The sequence below is a fragment of the Homo sapiens genome, chromosome 3, assembly GCF_000001405.40.
Source record: "Homo sapiens chromosome 3, GRCh38.p14 Primary Assembly".
In the NCBI taxonomy this organism is placed as follows: domain Eukaryota; kingdom Metazoa; phylum Chordata; class Mammalia; order Primates; family Hominidae; genus Homo; species Homo sapiens.
In genome coordinates, this window is record NC_000003.12 from 59,123,344 (window position 1) to 59,147,096 (window position 23,753).

A 23,753-nucleotide genomic window follows, 5' to 3' on the forward strand; every position below is an offset into this window, starting at 1 on the left:
CCAAATAAATAAAATGATTGCCAATTATGGTAAGTACTAGGAGAGTAACAAACAGGGTACTGAAAGAGATCTACTTTATATATAGTTTCCAAGGATTTGAGCTCTGTAAAAATATAGTTTTATTTAAACCAGGTAAAATTTCAACCAAGATAGCAAGAGAAAAGGTAGATTAAACTCCACTGATGAAGTCAGGTATGCTTGCCTCTGGAATTAATTTCATTCCTGTTATCTTTTTTGAGAAGCAGAATTTTCCTGGGTTTGTGTCCTCTGCAATAGATACATTTAGCATTTTTCATTTTATTGGTAACCTAGACACATTTACTTTGGAACACAAATGCTAGAATTTTAAAAATAAAATTATTTTACTTTACTTACTTATGGACATATATCTGGGAGGTTGAATGTAACGAGCTATTGTCTTTGATGGAAATCATAAGCAACTTTATTCCTTATTGGTTTATTGTCTATCTTTATTAGCTGGAGTAAAAGTTCAATGAGGGAAGGGAATTTGTTTTGTTTGCTGATACATTCTCAGCTCTTAGAATACTGTCTGGTATACAATAGGTGCTTACTATTGATTGAATGAATGTATGATAGACATATTATTTTGTATTCTGTTTCTACATAGACTCTTTTCCCTAGCACTCATTTCATTTGATCAATCTTTAATGTCTGCTAACTTTTTAAAAAATCACTTTTTTGTACCACAGCCATTCTTTGGACATTTACATGTTTTCCATATGTTTACAATGACCCACAAAATACTGAAATAATGTTTTGTGCATATTAACTTTTTAATTTCCTTTGCATTATCTCCTTAGTGTAAATTTGAAGGATTGGGCCAAAGAGTATTAACATCATCATCACTCTTCCTCCATGTTGTCATTTCCAAAAGGGTAGGGACAGTTTTCAGTGGATGAGTATACCTGTTTCACTTCAAACTCAAACTCATTAGCATTAGTGGTTATGTTTAAAATATGTATTTTTAGAAGGTGAAAATAGAGAATCTAACATGCTTTTATTTAATGTCTCTTGATGTTGTATATATTTTTGCATTCATTTATTAATTTTATTTTCTCTGTCGTGAGCTGTCTGCTTATACACTTTGCTCAGTAGAGCTGCTTGTTGAGTTATTCAATTCCTAAGTTCTGGGCAGAATATTGACATCTGGGTTTTAAAAAACTTTCTCCTAGGTACTGAGGTTGTCCCACATGGCAGTTTCAGGCGCAATTCTTCTGGAGATGACAAAGGGCAGGAAGGTGCTTCAGGTACGTGGGGAGGTGCTCTTTGTCGTTCACACCCATGCACTGAGGATTTCTCTGCCTGATACAGAGAGCCTCATGGAGCCACCATTGGTAATATTCCCTCTTTCAACTACCTGCCACATGCCAGGCTGTTGCATTTGCTGCTATATACATGGAAAAATAAAATTCTGATTATAATATATTATAAGTATGATTAAAATAGGATGCAGTGAGAGACAATAATGAAGAAGACATGTGTATTTGGAAGACTTACTTAGATCAGGAAGCCTCTCTCAGGAAGTGACCTTTTACTCAAAGCCTGGAGGGAAAAGATATCCACAAGCTATTGACGATATCATATTTCCAATAGAGGCAGAGTGTAAAATGCCATTATTGTAACCTATCGGAGCAGCCTGTTCAGCTGAGCTGTAACAGCCTCTGGGTCTGAAAGTTGCTTTCATTTTGGTTTCACTCACGAAGACTGTGCTAAAATCAGAGGGATGAAAGAATAATGTTCCTCCTTAAGTTCCTAACATGCCTGGCCACTTAGTGGGGTAAAGGAAATATCTATGCTTGTTTGAGGATCAAATAAAAAGATAATTACTATGTGTCGTTTTTCCCATTCTTTGCATATGATTGTAATAATTACAATAATTAGAGTTCAGCGGGACTCACTCTCTCCTGATTTTACAGATCATGCTGTAGGAGCTGCTAACACAGCATGATACAAAATGCAGTCATAGTGCAGTCTGCGTAAAGGCAATCACAAGTCACATAAACACTGCATAAAGAGCTCCTATCTATACACAGTATCTCCTACTATACACAGGAAACATGAAAATCAGCATTTTTTTTTTTTTTTTTTTTGAGATGGAGTCTCACTCTGTCGCCCAGGCTGGAGTGCAGTGGCGCCATCTCGGCTCACTGCAAGCTCCATCTCCCGGGTTCACGCCATTCTCCTCCCTCAGCCTCCCTAGTAGCCGGGACTACAGGCGCCCGCCACCACGCCCGGCTAATTTTTTGTATTTTTTTTTTTTAGTAGAGACGGCGTTTCACCGTGTTAGCCAGGATGGTCTAGATCTCCTGACCTCATGATCTGCCCACGTTGGCCTCCCAAAGTGCTGGGATTATAGGCGTAAGCCACCCCGCGTGGCCGAAAATCAGCATCTTATAGCTGACATTGTTTGTTTGGCTTTCTAACTTTGACCACTACTTCCACCATACTAGCTTATCCATTTAAGTTTATTTTTAATAAAGGGACACTCGGGGGCCCAGTCTTCTTTAGAGGCAAGAAGAATTTAAAGCCGTCTTGCTGTTACTGTTCATTTAAATAATTCTCAAAAGTCCACATTGCAACGAAGTAAGAATACACAGCCATGTGTACAACAGGAGCGTTTATTTTCTGAACAGTTAGGAGTTTATTTCACCTTCTGCATGTAACCCTCTAAAATGCCCTGTAATTTCTACGGAAGCATGCACTTATAGTCCATTGCCAGAAAAAAAAATAGTCTTACTAGTAGTTCACTGCAGACAGAGTCCAGGATGTGATGCGCAACTTTTTTGTTTTGTTTTTACTATTCTCACTGGGTTCTTTTTTTTTTGTGGGGGGGTGGTTTGCTTGTCTTTTGAGAGGGAGTCTCGCTCTGTCACCAGGCTGGAGTGCAGTGGTGTGTTATCTGGGCTCACTGCAAACTCCGCCTCCCAGGTTCAAGCAATTCTCCTGCCTCAGCCTCCCAAGTAGCTGGTAGGCATGCACCACCATACCCCAGTAATTTTTGTATTTTTAGTAGAGACGGGGTTTCACCATGTTGGCCAGGATGGTCTCGATCTCTTGACCTCATGATCCGCCCACCTCCTCCTCCCGAAGTGCTGGGATTACAGGCGTGAGCCACCACGCCCGGCCCTCACTGGGCTCTTTTAACCTGAGTCAGCCTTAGGACCTTTCTCCCTTGGTCTTCCTCCTTCTTTTCTACCCTTCCAACTTCCCGTGTGGTCAAAACTGAGGAAACCACTGCTCCTTGGTCCACCCTGGGGCAATGAGGAATCAGAGCTGGTGGCACCTCACAGCCCTCCATGGGATTTGGCTTAAATTTTTCAGCTTCTTTGGAGTGGAATGTTTGTTCTATAAAACCAGCCTCTCTGGTGCTAAGAATGATCAACCTCATAGCACAACTTTGATGTAATTATGCCCCAAAGGGCCTCATCCACAAAGGAGGAGGCTAAGAAGGAAAGAAAGGGTGCAGAGAATAGAGAGCCTGGATCAGTCTCAGATGATCTGCCAGGGTTCTTGCAATCAGTTTATTCCAGGGTAAACCTCACATAGCCACTTCACCAGAAATGCATCCTCACTAGAAAATGCTTTCTACACAAATAAAAGATAAACAAAGTTCTAACCTAGCAAAGAAATTTAGTGAGGCAAGGACTACCAAGTTACCTGAACAATTAATAAAAATGGCCTGGGCTCTTTTCTTTTCCCAGGTTCTCTGTAATATGTATAAAAGAAATTATGAGTCCAATGATGACACATAGTTTTACTCTGTAGATGGGAAGAAAGCTTATTTATTCTCAGGAGCTACTATTTGTCAGTGTGAAAGGCTAGTTGACCATTTTAGTTGCACTGATACAGCATTGTTAACTTGACAGCAAAAGTAGCTATGACAGCTTTCCCACACTCTGCCCAGCTCTCCAGGAGTTCTCTCACTGCAGACATTTAGTGGAGTTCTGAATGACTCATTCTCATAAAAAAAAAATAAGCCAGACACTGAGCTGGATTAGAGTTTTAATTCTTTCAAGTTTGATCTGTCATGAAGAAATAAATGTATGGGTGGCACTGTTCAAACCTTAACATCTTGCTGCATGAATACTAACTCTTGCAAAATAAAAGTTGTTTGTCTAAATGGTCTAAATATGTGTGTATGAATGCCTAATTTCTTCGATTTTTCCTGAAAATGGCATTTTAAAGTTACATCATGGCTAAGAATTTGTACCCATTTCTCTTATAATTATTTTAATTACAGTAGCTATAATCGTTGCTTTTCAAAGAGACAGCCAACAAGGCTTTATATCAAGCTTTTACTCCGGGAAATGAAGAACTTTTTCCTTTGTAAACTATATAAAAAGATGCTACATATTATGTACCGAGAAAAAGAGTAGCTTTTTTTCTCCCCAAAGTGCCAAAGCATCTCTTTTATCTCCTGGCATCCTCTCAAGCTCATTATTGCTTTAACATTTGAACTTGTCACCTCTCCAAACTCATCTAGTCGCATTTCATCATCTTAGACAAACCTTAAGACTTTCTAAAGCTCCTTTGGATTTTATATAAAATCTCATTCTTTGAGATTCAGGAGCTTCTTTAAAGCTATTTTTAGCATATTTTTATAAAACAGACCAATAAATGGATGGCAAGTTTAAATATACTATCAGTTCATATTTCTTTTTTTTTTTTTTTTTTCTTTTTTTTTTTTTTTTTTTTTTTGAGACGGAGTCTCGCTCTGTCGCCCAGGCTGGAGTGCAGTGGCGGGATCTCGGCTCACTGCAAGCTCCTCCTCCCGGGTTCACGCCATTCTCCTGCCTCAGCCTCCCAAGTAGCTGGGACCACAGGCGCCCGCCACTACGCCCGGCTAATTTTTTGTATTTTTAGTAGAGACGGGGTTTCACCGTTTTAGCCGGGATGGTCTCGATCTCCTGACCTCGTGATCTGCCCGCCTCGGCCTCCCAAAGTGCTGGGATTACAGGCGTGAGCCACTGCGCCCGGCCTCATATTTCAATTTTCATGAAAATTTTTATTTGCTTCCAACTTTGTCTCTGTTACAAGCTTCTTTTTTCTCCCTTGACCCTAAGCCTGTGAGGGGATGTTAATCTTCCTTAATACCTCATTGGGAAGAAAATGTAAAAGTTTCTGGGGTGGCAGCATTTTCAATATTGGATGCTACTGAGAAATATGGTTAGATTTGGAAAGGCTCAACTTACTGAATTGGCAGCTCTTCTACTATCTGAATTTATTTTTTCTTCCTTGCTCACCTTTGGAGATCTTTCCCCCTCAAACTTTTCCTTTTATGTAACTTGTAGGCTTTTTGAGAACAATCCTGTGAATTACTGGAGCTGTACTTATACCTTGAAGGTAAAGGAGAGACTGACTTTAAATGTGTTCCTTCAGTTGCCCCCCAGTTAGGCCTTCCTCCTGGCAGGGCCCCAGTCCTGCTAGGCTCAGTATTGCTGAAGCAGAATCCAGTGTATCCATCCTATGTGGTCTGCAGAAGACATTTCATTTTCAAAGGACCGTTGCTGGGTCCAGAGCCTTTCACGTGGAGGCTATTCTGTTGCACAGCTGGAACAATTTGCCTCACAAAGAGCAGCCCTCATTTGCTTAACACTTGCTCCCTTCTGTATTACGTGTTTAAATAGATTAGAAGAGCATTCCTCTCTGTGCCAGGTCATCTCTCAATTTAGATAGAAGAAGACCCCTTTCAAAGCTGCTCTGAAGATGTGACAGTATCAGCTAGAAAACCAAAGGCCTAGCTAGGTTTCTTCCTCAAATTGCCACTAAAGTAAAGCATCTTAGGATTCTTTGGTGAAAATAAAGAGGGGTCTAAGTTCAAAGAACTGTATCTGGAGGGAATGGAAACACATCTAATGAGTGACAACATTTCACTCTTACCTGAGAAATTGAGAGAACATTTCATCTGTGGGCAGAGATCTCTTCCTGAGCAGGGATAAGGCCTGGCAGACCACTCCAAATACCTGTGGAAGCCTTATGAATAGTTTCGAGAAGTCACTAATGGTCAATAAATGCTGCCTTGCTTACAAAGATTTTCACTTCCCTTCCCAAGTATCCCCAACTCCTTCTTTGATTTATTATGTAAACATCTGCTGTGGAAACACTGTAATTTCTCTTCATAGAATTAGACTTTCATAAGAATGAAAAACAAAGGATTACAGAAGAGAAGCAAAGTGCGACACATTTCTTTAAAACTCATTTTTTGATTCTTACTAGGATTTCTTTCAGTTGGAGCCCTTAGGATGTGTTTATTTTATATACCCAGTCAACATTCCATTACAGCATTTCTACACTTTGCAGAGACTTTTCTAAGGAAATTAGAAAGAAATAGAGAACATGGTCCTAATTTCCCCCTACTATCTGTAAGTGGAAAGTACGTCTGAAATGGTTTGAAGTAAGCATATCACTACAAGGGCTTCCTTGTGCCATTCAAGTAGATTAAGCTCTGCAGTGGCTTAGATACTCCCAAACTTATGGAATCATAGGTTTTCTGTTATGTATTGAGGTCTTTAACAACCTCTCTCTCCCCTAGCTCCTCTGAGTTATTCTACCAGAGTTCAGATGCCCCAGGGGTCTCTGGTCCCTAGGCTAGATTTGGATCTCAGAGTGGACCCCTTAATTTGACAATGTGGGGGTGGTTTCAGTGGATAGTTGGATTGGGTTGTCAGCTTGGATTGGCAGCACAATGCAAATTAAAGTATGTTGAATACTGTGCTAGAACATTGCTAATAAGTTATGTGATTCTGTAGGTTTGGGTGCTGGTACACACCTTGGTGACATTTTTTGGTAACATTAATACTATTTCCAAGGGTTTATATTACTCATATTATTTTTAAAAATTTTCTTTGTTTCTCAAATTACAAAAATAATATGGGTTTGTGGTTAAAACGCAAATGATGTTCAGTTAGGGTTGTGTGTATGGGTGTGTGTGTGTGCGCGCTTGTGTTCAGGCATGTACCCATGTGCACATGTGCATCGTATCAAAGTTCAGCATCTTCCCATCTCAATCCCTTAAGTCTGAAGTGATCCATTCCACAACCTGCTGTATCTTTATACAACTATATTCAAGCATATAAGCATGAATGCATTGTTTGCGGTCCTTAAATTAGAATTATATTGTACGCAATTTGCTTTTTTCACTTAATATCATGGACATCTCTGCAAGTCAGTAGTTAAGGGACTAACATCTTTATTTCTAATTTTTTAATTCATTCATAAACACAGGTATTTTAATTTTACAGAAGTGGGATCACAACCCTTCCTGTAGGGAATTAGCTTTTCATTTTATTATAACTTCTATTATTATTATTAACATTATATTGATTTTCATTTGCATAATGCTTTATAGATGACAAACTCCTGTCACATACACCATCTTATTTATGCTTAGACATTTTATCAGGTGGTTATTGTTAACTCTATTGTAGTTGACCAGGAAGTGTAAAGAGGTTGAGGCTTTCCCTTCACCACAAAGCTGGCAAAGGTAGAGTCAAGATTAGGAGTTGGCCTGTCTTACTCATCCATGCCTTTAGCGAGCATTTAACCTTCTGTTGATGTTTGAAAATGTTTGTGATGGGAAGGTAGGTAAACCCCTACTAAATACCATTCACCATACCAAACAATTGTCAATATAATTTTTTAATTTCACCTGTAAACCTCTAGCAACATAGACATCACCTTATCTACCATAAGCGTTTGTTCTGCTATGCCTATTGTATAGAAATGTAAATTCTATGTTAATTTTTCACCTTAATTCTTAAAACGGATTCTTATCTACTAAACAGAAGCATTATTCCATTTAAATGGATTTCCACCTTCTATTATTTGATTATAAACTCATTTTATCTACATTTTCTTGGACTGGGCTCAATTTGCTGTACATTAGTCCCAAAGCCCTAATGATTCATCTGACTCCAAGCGCATTATTTCTCATTGCATCTTGCTTTTCACAATTTAACTTAGCCTGTAAACTGGCTTTCCATGCAGCCTCCAAATTAATAGCAGAAAAATAAACTTTTAAAGATGAAAACAAAGCTTGCCCTTGACCTCATGGAAAAATAAATATTGGTCTGAGAAATAGCTTGGCTACTGTCCTGATGGGTCCTCAGAGGCACTTTTCTTTTCCTATTTTGTCAATGCTAATACACAAAAAATTAATTAGAATGCTGAGTTTTATGTGTCCAACCACAGATATCCAGCCAGCAGTAGAAATTGAAACCTTTAGGCAAACATGTTGGTAATTAATGAAAAGCATATGCTTCCAGAGTGTAGGGTAGCATAGTGGAATCAGAATGGGTTGTGGAGATTGAGAGATTGGGGCACTGGTTAAGTCTTTGACCTTGCAGAAGTTGATTAATTTCTATAAGCCTACTATTTTTTATTTGTAAAAATAGGGATAATGCTCATAGATTTGTTGGGAGAATTAAATGATATAATGTGCAGTTGCCATTACAGTGTTTGGCATTTAGGAAATCTTCAGTAGATGATAATAGCTGATTTTCAGCTGCTTTTTACCTACAAAACAGCTATTTCTTACCTAATATAACACCTAGTATATCCATATACCTAATAAAACTATGTAATTAAAATTAAATTTAACCTTTTTAGCCAGGTTCATATATAAGTACCTTTATTTTCTTTTTTGTCACTTGTTCTGACTATAAAATGAACCCACTTCTTCCTGTTTTGAAGATAAATTTTAGTATCAAAGTACTTTTAAAGATTATTAATTCTTTCTGCTAAATTAGTAATAAGTTAGTACTTACATTATTAAGGTTTACCATCATAGTACACTGAACAAGTTAAAATATCTTCCTTCTAACAAATGATTCAGGCATGAATTCAAATTTTGATAACATGACTTATGGTTCAATTGCTCAGTTTATTGTGTATTTTTCTTTCAGATTTTATGGCATTCAGTTAGCAAAATAAGGTCATTTAGTTTCAAAATTTGTTGTCTTTCACTTTCTAAACACTTTGAATCTGGACCTGAGGACTCAATGTTTTCTAAGTATTTATTTTGGTTTTAAACTGGATTTCAGTGCTTAATTTTGTTTGTTCACATTTAGAGTGATGGTAGAATCCTTGGAGAATGATAACTTTTGGCTACCTACTAATGCATAGCATTTCAGAGAACAGAAGACTGTATTCCTGTTGTCAAAGAGTTTAGGATCACTTATTTGTTTATAATGGGCCAGGTGCTATTTTAAGCACCAGCAACAGGGGTACACAAGACAGATGTCCTGGCCTTGATGAGCAAAGATTCTAGTTAGAGTGAAACAGAAGTCAACACATAAATAACCATATATAAAGGGCAATTTCAGACACTATATGTACCATATGAGGATCATATAGGGTAAAGTGGCATGAAGGGAAGGCCTCTCTTTGAATTAAAGCCTGAATTATACAGAAGCAGGCATGTGCCCATCCAGGAAACAGTGTTTCAAGCAGAAGAAAAAAACTGTACAATGCTTTGAAGTGGGACAAGATAGTGGGCATAGGAATGAGTATACAAATGACTCTCACCAAAGAACAAAAATGTGCGTGAGCACTGTACATTTGAAAGTCGTTTTCAGACAGGTGAAGAGTGAGAAACTGAGAAAATACATTTGGATACTGTCTTCTTCACGGCACAACGTACTCAAGGTTAATGAATGACTGTTCAACGTTTCAACAGAAACATACGTTGGGCTATTTTCTATCCTAAGGGATATTTTACAAGGGCAGTGGAAGAAAAAGATTGTTTTTCCTAAAGGAGAAGACTAATATACTTATAGATGTGAAAACAGTTTCTATGTCATACGTATCTTTCATTTTAATTAACTTCAACTGGAAATGAAAGGCCTGAATTTAAAGATTGTCTCTTTAGAGCTTAGGCCTATCACTTTAGCCAAGCTGCATTTTGGACACTGTATTCTTGGAATTAAAAAGTCCACTAGAAAAACTCCCAAGATTGTTGAATGTCTTCGTTTTCTTCTCTAAATTGGCATTTTCTTCTCCAAATTATAAGATCATCACAATTTGGTGCTGTGAAATATGAAAATGAAGTCAGAAATATTGAAAACATAACTTTAAACTATTTTTTTTTCATTTCTGCTCCTCCCCTAATGAAAGACATATGTTTTAACTAGGTTAGTGCTTTTCCTGGATTTCCAATTATAGTACGTCTTCATTTTAGGTATGAACAGCTTACATTTTTGTTCCCTGAATTATGAGTTAAAAAAATAAGCACAGTTGTGCAATTCAGTCAGATTCTCAAATCTTTTTAAAGAAACAATGCCTCCGACACAGCACAGAAAGCAGAAGGGCTTTGGGTCTGCATGGACGTTGTCATTAGTAGACCTTGTAACATGTCAAATTTTGAACATAAAGAACTTATTACAAGTAGTAATTATTTCTATAGATTCCTTGATAGGAGGGAAAGTTTTCACATCAAAACTGAATACAAACTGAAAGCAATTTCACCTATATTCCTTCCTCTACCTACATAGGAGAAATTAATTATCTGTGAAAAAAATTAATAGCTCTCCTATTGTAATGCATCAAAGCATTATTAACTCATTTTCTTGTCTGAATTTTTGAATTCTCAACATTAGAATTTCTCATCAAGGTAGTTGAATAATTGGCATTAGTAGAAATTGAAATTAATGTTAGATGCTACATTTCAAAGATTGTTTTGGTTGAAGATTTCCACGTTAGGTAATTAGGTATTCCCAAAGAAATCCAGTGTCCTAAGTATTTTTTAAAAAATTAATTCATAAGAAATCAAAGGAGGGATCTAAAATAGTAACAAACATGTGGATACCTAAAATCAATATATCTGTGATTTACCTCTGGCTGTGGATGTGACACAAAGAACACAGAGAAGGCGTTTCCTAGGAAGTTGGAAGTCTGATACAGACAGGAAGAACTACATTTTATTTTGTGGTGCTAACTGGCAATTATAGAAGGTCACAGAAAATGAAAAGCATGGATATGTAACTGAATCTGTAAGAGTACTTTATTATCAGAAACATGAGAAATGACTGTCATAAAAAATATTTAGTCCTGGTGCATAGAGTTTGGAGGATAAATTTTTGAATTTATTATGAAGCTGATTTTATTTTAAAATCAATCGAAACAATATAAGAAGGTATAATAGAAAGTCTCACTTTTACCTTCTCCAATCCATCCTATTTTTTTCTCCTCAGGCCAAGAAACTATGTTTGCTATATATTTATCCCTCCATAGTTTCTTTTTGCAAATTTAAGCAAATACAACTATATATTCATTCATATTTCCCCTTTCTTACTATTGTGAAGTATTTTATGAGTGGTATATTATGTTTCATGCTTATGAGACATATATACATGGCATATCATTAATGTATCTTCAATGGTAACAATAAAGTAAGTGATATTTTCAACATTTTACATATGAAGAAACTGAGGCTCAAGGGAGTTTAAACATGCCCCAAGGTCATACATTGTTAGAGGCAGGATTTAAAGTCTCTTTTTTTGCACTAGTAATATTTTTTGGTATAACCTTAGCAATTACTTTTAATGGCAAAAACCACAATTACTTTTGCACTTCTGTACTGAAATGTCTGGACAGAATTCTGTAGCTCTTAAATAACTAATGCTATTTTCATTGTATTTGAAGAACTTCATGGAATGTTTAATCTTTTAATTTTCAAAATTAAAATGACTTTTTCTTGGCTAATATTATTTTATAAAAAAGATAGTAAAACACATGTTAAACCCAACTTTCCAGGTAAAGTCACTGTTTACATCTTGGTATCTACCCTCCTAAACTGTTTTGTGTGTAAAGTGATGTCACACCATGCAGTGTTTAAGAGGAGCTGCGGATTGACTTGCAGTGATCTCTCTCTCACACACATGCACACTGTAGTTCTCCATTTCGTTACCCAAGAATGCAGAAACATATTGGAGGTTGGGTGTTCACAATGGGCAGGGCAAGCACAACATTTCCTGTTTTTTCCCTGACCTCAAGTTCCTTAGTGGGATGCACAGCCACCAGTGATAATGTCCATACACGGTGGAATCCTGCATCCTCTTAGGAAACCACAGAACTTTTTCTGTTCTAATTGTTTTTGTAGGGCCCACACCATTCCAGAATAGCTTCTACTAATAATCTACATGCTGCCACTTAAGCAAAGGTCTAGAGATATATCAGTTCTTTGATGTATGGTTATACATAGCTGCTGTGAGTTTGTAAGTTTATAAGGGGTCACCTGTAAGTTTATCTAGCATAATTTCCATTATTTATCCCTTTTGAACATCATGATATACTTATGACCTTTCATAGACCCAAATAATTCCAGTCTACAGCTATGAACAATTGATTTTTGATCCACATTCATAGTCATCACATTTTGGCCAATGAAAGAAATTTTGAAAGTATTTTTGCTGTCTTTTCACTAGATTTGCCAGCCCCAGCTTGAGCTATCCCATCCCAGAAACAGAATCAGTTTCTAGAAATTAAATGTGGATATTAGGATTGCATATTATGTTGTGTTGTATGAGCAGGGGATAGAGCCTAATGACAAAGGCCTCCAGGCTTTTAGTGATAGAACAGACATTTATGTTTCTTTCAATATGAATGAATTAACGTTGCTATGTCATATTTATCACTTTAAAATGTTACTTAAAATGATTGTTCATTAATGCAATTTGCTATTGTTTTGAGCTACATTTTAACCTTTGATCACTAGCTTTGGTATTTCTCCCTATATATATTGTCTTACCAAATTGTGTGTTTAAATTTCTATGCTACCCCAAGTTTACTTTCTTTTGAATTTTTGGCTCAAGCATCCTGAGAATTTAGTGTGCAGATCTCATTTTTCCCCTGTGTGAGGCATCACTAGAACAACAACTGCCTAAAGAAGAAAATCAGGCCAACTTATTTCCAAGGGGAATACTAAAGCAATAAAAAGTCTGGTCCAAGAGGCGAAACTCTCAAGACAGTAGAAAGATTGATGGATGAGAATGGCTTGGGAAGAGTGAGGAAGGGAGGGATGACTACTAGTTTGAGCACAGAGGATTTTTAGAGCAGTGAAACTGATCTGTATAATACCGTAATAGTATGATACATGAAGACACATGCCATTATGCACTTGTCAAAACCCATAGAATGTGCATCAAGAGTGAATCCTAATATAAACTATGGACTTTAGGTAGTAATAATATATCAATATTGGCTTATTAGTCATTAACAAAGGTACTACACTAACAAAAGATATTAACAATAGGGGCAACTGGGTGGGGAGACATGGACAAGAAGGATATATATGGGAATTTTCTGTACTTTTTGCTCAAGTTTTAAATAAACCTAAAATTATGAAATAATGTCTATTAATTAAAAAAACAGTTATGGGCCCTCAATGTTTCAAAGGTAATAGACACTTAGATTCTTAGATACTTAGATGCTTACATAAAGTCCCAAACTGTTGATGGACAACAGCAAGAAAATGGGGACTAAAAACAAATATCTCTTTGAGAAAGAAATCAGTTTTACAATGATCCAGAGAGAAATAGTAATGACACTAGGGTTCAGAGAATTAAGAGTTAAAAGAGATAGATATGTCCTAGTGTCATTATTTTTTCTCTCTGGATTATTGTAAAACTCTGATTTCTTTACGGCCTTTGATGACTACTACTCTTCTTTATCTTGGGAATATACTAGTTTAACTTTCCAAAACCTAAGTAAGAATGCCATAGAACATAATCAGATTATGGCCAAGAAACCTCAGACTTTTAATATTTATCTTAAACATTCAATTCTATAATTTAAAAAATATTAACTAGGCTTATATAATTTTTATAACATTATCTAGGCTTCATAAGAAGCAGCTAATACAAAAGGATATTTAGTCTATAATGTATTTCAGTTGTAATTTTATGTTTACATCATATTTATATATCTCCAATCTTAGTCTGGGTAGCAAAATCCTTCAGTGTAATAAGAAAGAAGAATGCAGCTATTTTAGGTCTTGTTGTAAAGATCCAAGTTCTGATATAAATTGAAAGCACCATATCAATTTTGCCTTTTGTGGTAGTAATTCTGTGGTCATCAGTGAAAAGAAACTTGTTTTTTTTTTTAAACCGCTTGTTCTGGATAATAAAACCTTGTTTGTCATTTAGTTAAAAGCCAAATAGGCTGAGCAGACATTGGACTTTCAGTATGAACCTGGATGAGATCAGAGACAATAATTTATTCTTAATTGCCTGTAGTATGTCAGGGTGACCCCTACCCATGTGTTTCCCACTTACCTAATATGGATGACCTGTCTTCCAGTAACAGTGAAGTTTCCATTTTGCATGGCCACTTAGCACATGCATTTAGGCAGAGGGAAGACAGCATTTCCTTAATATTCTATGCAGTCCCACTCCAGACCAATTTACTGTTACTTCTGGAAGGGTCATTGGTCTCCTGAGAGTGAGAATGCAGAGAGAGCTTGGCCTCACTCTAAGTCTATCTTAGTGCAAGGATGGACAGCTTTCCTTTTGGAAGAGTATGACATGCTGGGCTTTTCTCAGCTAAGCCTGTATCCTGCCCTTCCCAGCTGCATGCATAGGCCAAGGCTTGCCATTGTCTCAGCTGGCTCAGGTCATCAATCTGAAAATTAAATGAAGTTAAAACCACAGAGTTTAGTTATTTAATACTCTAGTTGAATTTTCCTACAACCATTTCAATTAGGAAGAAAAATCATACTGGACATAATGCAACTTAGAACGTTTAAAAAATTGCAAACATCCATGTAGATCTCATATGTATATCTATTTAAAGTATCCTTACCCTTTAGTCAGGTCAAATGTTAATTTTCATTTGAGGATATTTTCAAAGACCTTTGTATAAGTTACAGTGTCTCAAAGCCAAAATTGCTTGCCAAGGGGAAGATTTAGCTCACACAATGTAGTTACTGTCAAAAACTTCAACTTGAAATTCATCTTTTTCTTGGGGCTTTTATCATAGAAGTTCTGTGAAGGCAGATTTTTTTTTTTTTTAAATTTGTTATTACTAGTGGGAGTGTAGACTGGTGCAGCCATTATGGAGAACTCTTTGGCAGGACCTAGTCCAATTCAGTATATGCGTGTCATATGACCCAGCAAGTTCACATCAGAGGGCATGGGTGCTGATGTTTGTCTCATTATTATTTGTGGGGGCATCTGTTAGAGGCAATCTGAGTGTTCAGTGCTGGGGAAATAGGTAAAATAGGGTAAACACTTATTATCTGCACTTCTGGCACAGTCATACCCATAACCACATAGATTGATCTTAAAAACATAGTACTGACTAAAAAGATTAGAATGAGATATACATAAATTTAATATACATATTCACAAAATAACTATATATTTTTATAGGAATACATAATTCATATTAAACATGTCAGAAGTGGTTGCCTGTGAGGATGGGAAATGGGTACGAAAGGGAATAAATAAATTACACAAACAAAAGAGGGGCCTTGTTTGAACCAGTAAAAAATTCATCTAACAAGCTCAACTGGCTGTTGATAGAAATCATTGTACGAATTTCCACTGATACGACACACATAAACAGCAACCTTCCTCAGTGGTCTCATACCTTGTGACCCAGTGGTCTCATACTTTGGACTCGTTAGTTTCTATCCATGGCATACTCAGCTTATACTTTCCTTCAGATCCTTGGTACCCCTTGGAAAATCACTGAGGTTGTATGGATTTTATTTCTAGCCCACTCTTGACCCAATTTGCAACATTCCAGTTATAGATTGACAAAAAGACACACACACACACACACACACACACACACAGGCGCGCGCGCGCGCACACACACACACAGCCAGTGCCTGATTTAAATAGAGAAGGACATAGAAACTAATTGGAAGTAGGATGGCCACAGATATCATGGCAAGGCTTATTCATGGCCCCTAGTTCCCTGTTGAAGCACAACAGGTCCTGCAGACTGGGGCACTTCTGTTATACCATGTATCTTTCATGATCAAAGCTTACATCATTTTTCCAGCAGAACTTTTATTTCTGTTTAAGGGAAGGTTGATAAGCCTTATGCTTTTCATTGTGAATCATATATCATCAGCAGGCCACATTCTCATCTGGGGCAAGGACATAGTCACAGAACAGATGCTTCTAAAGAAGATCTTTGGCCGGGCGCGGTGGCTCACGCCTGTAATCCCAGCACTTTGGGAGGCCGAGGCGGGCGGATCACGAGGTCAAGAGATCGAGACCATCCCGGCTAAAACGGTGAAACCCCGTCTCTACTAAAAATACAAAAAAAAATTAGCCGGGCGTAGTGGCGGGCGCCTGTAGTCCCAGCTACTTGGGAGGCTGAGGCAGGAGAATGGCGTGAACCCGGGAGGCGGAGCTTGCAGTGAGCCGAGATCCCGCCACTGCACTCCAGCCTGGGCGACAGAGCGAGACTCCGTCTCAAAAAAAAAAAAAAAAAAAAAAAAAAAAAAAAAGAAGATCTTTGCCTCCAGTTGCCAGTGCTCTGGAAGGCCAATTTCCATGCACATTGTTACTTGAATTTGCATTTTTCTGACTAGCAGTGATTCCTGTTAGCAGCACTGTGAGAAGATCAAGTTGGACCGTTTAGTTGTGGAAAATTATAACGTCAATAGTTTTAGGTCTTTTGGCCTGCTAAAACTCTTCAGGGAAAGTAAAGGCTTTGTCGCCAACTTTCTGGTAACTGCATGGGGGAAAAATCTGGAAGTCTTAATGTATAGTATGGATACATTTAATGAATTGTTCTGTTTTCAGTATGATGCCCCATCCCATTCTCAACTACACTTGGTGTCCTCTTATTTTACCATCTCCAAAATTTAAAAAATAAGCTATTTTGCCAGGATAGGAGAGGGTATTTAGGGAAGCTTACTGCTCATTTATTTCTTTTGTCCATTTTTCTATTTTGCTGTTTTTCTCTTGTCAATTTATGAGACCATTTGTCTATTTACTTTAAAGTATTTTTTGTCTATTTACTTTACGTCTATAATTTGTGTTTTGCTTTATAATTCTTCATCCAAATAATTTTAAATTTTTATATAGTTAAATATGTCCAGATATCCTTTTGATAAATGTCAGGCTTCCTCTCTTGGTTAAGAAAGTCTCTACTATTTCTGTATTTTACATGTAGTCTCTTGAATTTTTTTCCAAGATTAAAAACAATTCTTAGAAAACCAAGTACCACATGTTCTCACTTATAAGGGGTAGCTAAGTTATGGGTATGCAACGGCATACAGAGTGGTATAATGGACACTGGAGACTCAGGAGTGGGGAGGGTGGCAGGGGAGAGACATAAAAATCTACCTAATGGATATAAGGTACACCTAATGGATGTAAGGTGATGGGTACAATAAAATCCCAGACTTTGCCACTATACAATTCATCCATGTAACCAAAACCCATAAAGCTATTGAAATAAAGAATAAAAAATAAAAAATTATTTATATTTTACACTTGATCTCTATGCATCTGTAATTTTTTTAAAGTAATGTGATAGGCATTATTTTCTTCCATATGAATAGCCAGCCAGTTCTAAGTATTACTCACAAAATAAACCATTTCTACTTGTTAAATTAAAAATAGTACTTTGCTTTAAATTTTATTATCATTTATAATGGGATGCTATTTCTTGATTGTCGATTCCGTTCTACTGATCTCTTTGTTCCTGCACAAATATCACATTGATTGGCCCCCTGGACAAAGGAAAGATCCTGTGGGTATCCAGACCAAACAAGTCAAATACAAAGTATCCCAAATCAGGATAATTTCAGAATAACTAACCCAGGAAGCTAGAAGGCACTGGAGGCAACATCTTTAAAAATATGGAGGAAAATGTTTCTAATCTAGAAATTCTGTTGCAGAGGAATGATCAGTCAAGTGTGGTGATAGAATACAGGCAGTTTAAGACATGCAAGATTCCAAAATACTTACCTCATGCACTCTTTCTTGGAAAGCTACTGCCCTCCAAAAAAGTCAGGGAAAAGACCAATATAGAGGAAAACAAGGGATACCAGAAAGAGCAATGCACTAGAGGAGAGAGGCAAAGGAAGCCCCCAGGAGGTTGTGAAGGAAGAGCCCAGGAGAGGCGTGGTGCATCAGGCAGAGATGAAAACCAGTGTGGATTAGAGCAGGTCAGAAATATCCAAGACAGGCTTCTTCAGGAGGATGAAACTGTTAGAAATCAGATGTGTCTGATTGTCCCGAGAGGAGACTGAGGAAACTGACAGAATTAGGGCTAGAATTAGTGGTAAATATGTAGAACACAAAGCAAATGATTAAACAGTAACAAAATTACTTCACCTTCCAGAGAAAATTAAAAAATGCATGAAAGGAAAAATGAATACAGTTCATGTCATAGCTCATCTATGGATGGTATTTATATAACTGTACTATCGAAGTCCATGATTGTTGATCTTCCTTGTATTACTTTATTAGTGGTGAGAAAATGGACAGGGCCCAGTGTGTGGCAGGAGCAGGAGGATGCAGATCTTTGTCTTCCATAATTGGAGATAACACATGGAAAAATCAAAATAGTATAAACATATTATTTAGAGCTGGGATAGATAGTCTAAAATAATTACTCAAAAGAGATGCAAATGATTGCCTTCAGGAGGGAAAAAATTAGAGGCGGGAGCCAAGGAAGTGCTATTTTTCATAAACAAAAAAACCCAGAAAAGTAAGCAAAGTAATTTTCAAATCAAAACTTCCCAGGTGCATTTTGTTCTGTTTTCAGTTATTATGTGCATGATTATTTTGATACTACTTTAGAAAATGTTTTAAAAACTAGCATGAAATTTAGTGATTCCTACTGTCCACAATAACAGTATCATTCCAAAATTCAGCTTCCTCTTGGATCTAGTGTCCACTTCTTCCCCGGACAGTAGAAGTGGGTAAGTAAATACCTTGAGAAACAGAGTCCCAACATGGGAGGCAATGCAGGGTTCAGATAAGTAGTTCTTCACTTTGGTTCAGATTAAAATGGTGGATGCATATATATAAAGCATGCCTGCTGTATTTTTGTCCTTGCTGCATTTCTGGCTTCAAGCAAAAGTACTAAAAATCAGTGAGCTTTTCTGAAACTTTCAGTCCTGGTGTTCAGATTCAAGACTTTAATAAGTTCAAGTCAGTTTGGGAAAAAGCAGCTCAACTCTGATTCAGACTTCTGTCTTAGGAAGTTTGACTTCCTGCTTTTTATCGTCTCACATCTTTTCTAAAGGTATGTGTTTTCTTTCTCTGGTTCACATGCCTGCCAATTAATTTGTATCAAAGCCTGCTCCTCTTCTTTCAACATGGATCTGTTCAGAGAAGCATTTCAGGGGCAAGTGACCACCTACTCTTTTACGCTGTTCCATTAAATGTGCCTCTGTGTCATCTTTATCCATCTCTGTGGGCTTTTAAATCTGGAGTCCTTCAACAATGGCATCTTTGTTCTCTATCCAGTGGATGACTCTTACCATTGGAAAGCGGCGTTACGGGAACATGAAGGGATGGTGTTAATTTATGTGATTCAGCGTTGAGAGGTATAATCTTAACCTAGAAGGGGAAAAAATGTGACTTAGGGAAATGTGTATAATATATTTTAACATCTATGGGATTATGCTGTAATTTGGTTTCACATTTTATTCACATTCTATGTGTGCATGTTTTCCTGTCAGTGATCAGTTATGTCACAAGGCTTTGGACATTTTTGGGCATGGTTGTTAATGGCCTCATGGTTTGATTCCTTTTCCTCTGTGTTTGGCCAAATGTGTGTAATATGTATATGTCACCCAGAAAGAAACACTCAGGGTCCATGCAATTCATAGTCTTCTTTCAATAATAACTCCATAACTATTGTTGGTTGAGCATATTTGAATCCACATTCTTATTGATACATATATACAATTGAGTATACAAGTGGGTTCTGGTATTGTTGACTACTTCCTTAGTAAGGTAACATGATAACCCTAACAAGTATGGCTAAATGAATATTTTGTTGCAGTATGGATACTCTTTTCTTTTTCTAATTGGTCTGTTCTGAATTGTGATGCCCGTTTCTTGCCTCCAGGCCTTTATTGCTGAATACTGCTATGTATTCATACACTTATTCAAAGTATGGTCTTTAAGTCCTGAGGTTTTATCAATTAAGGCCTGTGTAAAGCTTGGGTCCCCTAGGTATGCTCTGCAGATTGTTCTATGGAGCACTACAGTTCTATGTCTTTCCCTGAGCACCCAAGTTTGTATTGGTAGTTCTTTGGTGCTGCACACTCTTTGCAGGATCATGCTTGGGTAGTGAAGTGCTCTTAATGCTGTGGCCACTGGAGGGAGAAGTGAATACTACTTTCATGGGAAGAATCTTTTTCTGCTTAGAGTCTTGTCTTAAAACTCAACTGTTCTTTCCTCAAGCTTCAGCACTTCCTGTGGATCAACATTAGCTCAGGTCAGTATTATTTAATCACTTAGTGTCTATCTGCAATGGGAGGTGATGGAGGGGGAGTTATACATATGTGTGTGTATATGTGTAAGTATAAATGGGTATATATATTTATTTTATATATATATATATATATATATATATGAAAGATGTAAAATCACAAAAATTTATACTGAGTATGCCAATGGGAATGGGTCTTCCAGCCCAGTATTCAGTTTTCTTAGCAAAGAGCCAAGGGGAATTGTGGGGAAGAGAATATGGTATTTGTTCTCTCACTTCTATGTCTCAAAATGTGCAGAATTCAGAATGACCTTAGCTTTTTCTTTGTCGTCTATTTTGATGCTATTATCTAGAAATTGTAAATAAAATCTTTTTGGGATATATTTCTTCATGCATTTTACATATTTTCTATGTGGATATATAACTCTTAGAATGGGAAATATATGCTAAGTCTTTATTTTCAACCTATCTGTCTTTAATATAAGGTGCTTTTTTATTAAATGGCAAATATTTGGGTCTTGTGCTTTTTAACCAGTCTGAAAATGTTTGCCTTTTACATGGAGTGCTTACTTTCTTTATGGTTAATGTAATTATTGATGTGGTTGAATTTTGGTCTGCCATCTTGGTATTTGATTCTATTTGTCCCATCTTTTCCTTAACCCTTGATGCCTTCTTTTCTGATTCTTTGAATCACTGTATTCAGCATTTCTTTTAATTTGCTCTATTGATGTCTTATTTATACCTCTTTGTGTAATTTTTAGTGGTTGCTCTAGAGATAATGTAATTTGAAGGTAAACTCTTTAAAAGCACATGAAAATGTTAGAAGCTTATGTCAGTGTAATTCAATTCTTGCCCCCACCAGCTCTTCCAGTTGGTTCTTGACTATAGTTTCTGTCTCTGCTAAAATTCCTTATCAGCTCATATATGTTAAAATTTTATAACTAGTTTCTTTTATGTATTTATCATAATTATTTTAAAGTCCCTGTTTGGTAAATCCAATATCTGAACTCTCTCCAGATTTGCTTTTATTCCCATTTTTCTCCTTCTGGATCATGGGCCACATTTTTCTTGCTTCTTCACATCTCATAATTTTATAAATTTTATGCCAAGCATTATACGCAAAAGAGTAGTATAAACAATACTTACCACCATACAAGTGATATTGCTTCTTCTTTCAAGCTGTTAATGTGAGGAACAAAATCAATCTAATCTGTAGTTGTACTGGATCTAGGCTTTGTCCACTTTTAGTTACACGCAGTTACTGCTGGCTTCACATGTTTGAAATTAGGTTTAAGATGTGTCCTTCGGCAGAGTCTGGTGAGACTCCAGAGATCCTGTTTGCCAGCTTTAAGTGTCACTGGGAGTTCTCTTTGACTTTTAGTCCTGCCCCTAATTTTCTGCACTGCAGAGACCTCTCTCCCCCTAGCTGCCCTGCCCTTGCCTCTGGAGGACTGTTGAACTATCCTCTGTTAAGGCCCAGAGTACTTTGGAGAGATTTTTCTTGGCATTAAGAGAACTGCTTCAGGCACTTCGTTATTTATGTAAGATACTTTAATAAGTTGAGGTAAAATTCACATAATATGAAATTAACCACTTTAAAATGAAGGATTCAGTAGCATTTAGTGTATTCACAATATTTTGCAAATACCACCTCTATCTAGTTCCAAAACATTTCCATCATTCCAAAATTAAACTCTTTACCCATTAAGCAGTTTGTCCCAACTAGCACCCTCTCTCCAGCCTGTGGCAACCACCAATGTGTGCTCCGTCTCTATGGATTTATATGTTCTAGATATTTCATATAAATGGAATCATAAAATACACAATGCTTTCTGTCTGGCTTCTATGACTTAGCATAATGTTTTGGAGGTTTCTGTTGGTGTTGTGCCCTGCTCTCAGTTTTCAGAGTCCATGCCCTTCACTTGGTGAAGGTCTGGAGTGACTTGGAGGGATTTCTTTCCATTTTTCTGGCTTGCCCTCAGGCTTCCTGGTATTTGTCTTTGGCGAAGGCTCTCTCAGCTCTCCTTACCTACCCTTGACACTCAAGTCCCATGGAAACGAGCTCACAGGTTGGGGAAGACTTGCCTGTGATTAGGGTTCCTGAGGTTCTCATTCATCACACCATCCCACGGGGTCATTAAAGGTTCCTTCAAAGTTTGGCTAGTTTCTCCTTATCCCTGTCTTTGGCAGATTTGTCTTCTTTTGGCTGTTCTGTCAGGGAGTAAAGAAACAGTGGCTCTCTTCTCTCCCAGATGGATTAATCACTTTCTGGAGTTTAGTTTATTTGGGTTTCTTTGCATCCTCAGCAATCTGATGAACCTTTAAAAAAATGTAAACTTGTAAATTGTTGAGCTTGTTTTAATGGCTAGGTTTGAGGTGGCAGTGTCTTGTGACTCTCTATTTATTCTTTTAAAAATTATAATATATATTTATTCTTAAAATGCATTTTATTTATATATTCATTCATTGTTTTTGAAGTCTCAGATAATTACATTTTTTATTGTGGTAAAATACACATAATATCCACATGAGTGTAAGGTGGTATCTCATTGTGGTTTCGATTTGCATTTCCCTAATGATTAGTGATGCTAAACATCTATTCATGTGTTTAATGCCATTCATGTATCTTCTTTGGAGAAATGTCTATCCAAATTCTCTGCCCATTTTTAAATTGAGTCATTTGATTTTGTTGTTGTTGAGTTCGGAGTTCTCTATATATTCTGTATTTTAATCACTTATCAGATATACAATTTGCAAGGACTTTCTTCCATTCTTTAGGTTGCATTTTCACTTTGTTGATAATGTTGTTTGATGTACAAAAGCTTTTAATTTTATGCAGTCTGATTTGTCTGTATTTTGTTGTTGTTGCCTGTGCCTTTGGTGTCATATTCAAGAAATCATTGTGAAATCCCGTGTGGAGAAGCTTTTGCCCTATGTTTTCTACTTAAGACTTCTATAGTTTTAGCTCTTACATTTAAGTATTTAATTCATTTTGAGTTAATTTTTGTATACAGTGTTAGTAAGGGTTACATTGTTTGGATTACTGGAGCTGCTTTGTAATAAGTTTTGAGATAAAGAAGTATGATTCCTCCAGCTTTGTTGTTCTTTTTCAAGATTGTTTTGGATATTTGGGGTTTCTTGCGATTTCATATGAATTCTACCATGGATTTTTTGATTTCTACAAAAAATATAGTTGGGATTTTGATAGGGATTGCATTGGATCTTTAGATAATATTGGGTGGTATTGACATTTTAACAGTATTGCATTTCAGTACATGAGCAGGGATACCTTTTCATTTATTTATGTCTTTTAAAATTTC

At 36.8% G+C, this 23,753-nt stretch overlaps 1 long non-coding RNA gene across 2 annotated transcripts in view, besides 2 other annotated features; it reads left to right on the forward strand.

The window, feature by feature from the left end:
* Window positions 1-23,753, forward strand: part of CFAP20DC-DT (CFAP20DC divergent transcript) — a 724,471-nt gene that overhangs the window by 36,504 nt on the left and 664,214 nt on the right. For both annotated transcript variants that reach the window (XR_002959675.2, XR_007095934.1), the window contains exon 4: window positions 1,194-1,268. This is a non-coding gene — a long non-coding RNA (CFAP20DC divergent transcript). The remainder of the gene's footprint in view (window positions 1-1,193; window positions 1,269-23,753) is intronic.
* Window positions 4,909-5,433: an enhancer, noted in NCBI's record as "OCT4-NANOG-H3K27ac hESC enhancer chr3:59113978-59114502 (GRCh37/hg19 assembly coordinates)". NCBI's record gives its function as "activates a minimal SCP1, AML or CMV promoter by ChIP-STARR-seq in primed H9 embryonic stem cells {active_cell/tissue: H9 hESC(primed)}" and the evidence as "EXISTENCE:reporter gene assay evidence [ECO:0000049][PMID:30033119]".
* Window positions 5,434-5,957: an enhancer, noted in NCBI's record as "OCT4-NANOG-H3K27ac hESC enhancer chr3:59114503-59115026 (GRCh37/hg19 assembly coordinates)". NCBI's record gives its function as "activates a minimal SCP1, AML or CMV promoter by ChIP-STARR-seq in primed H9 embryonic stem cells {active_cell/tissue: H9 hESC(primed)}" and the evidence as "EXISTENCE:reporter gene assay evidence [ECO:0000049][PMID:30033119]".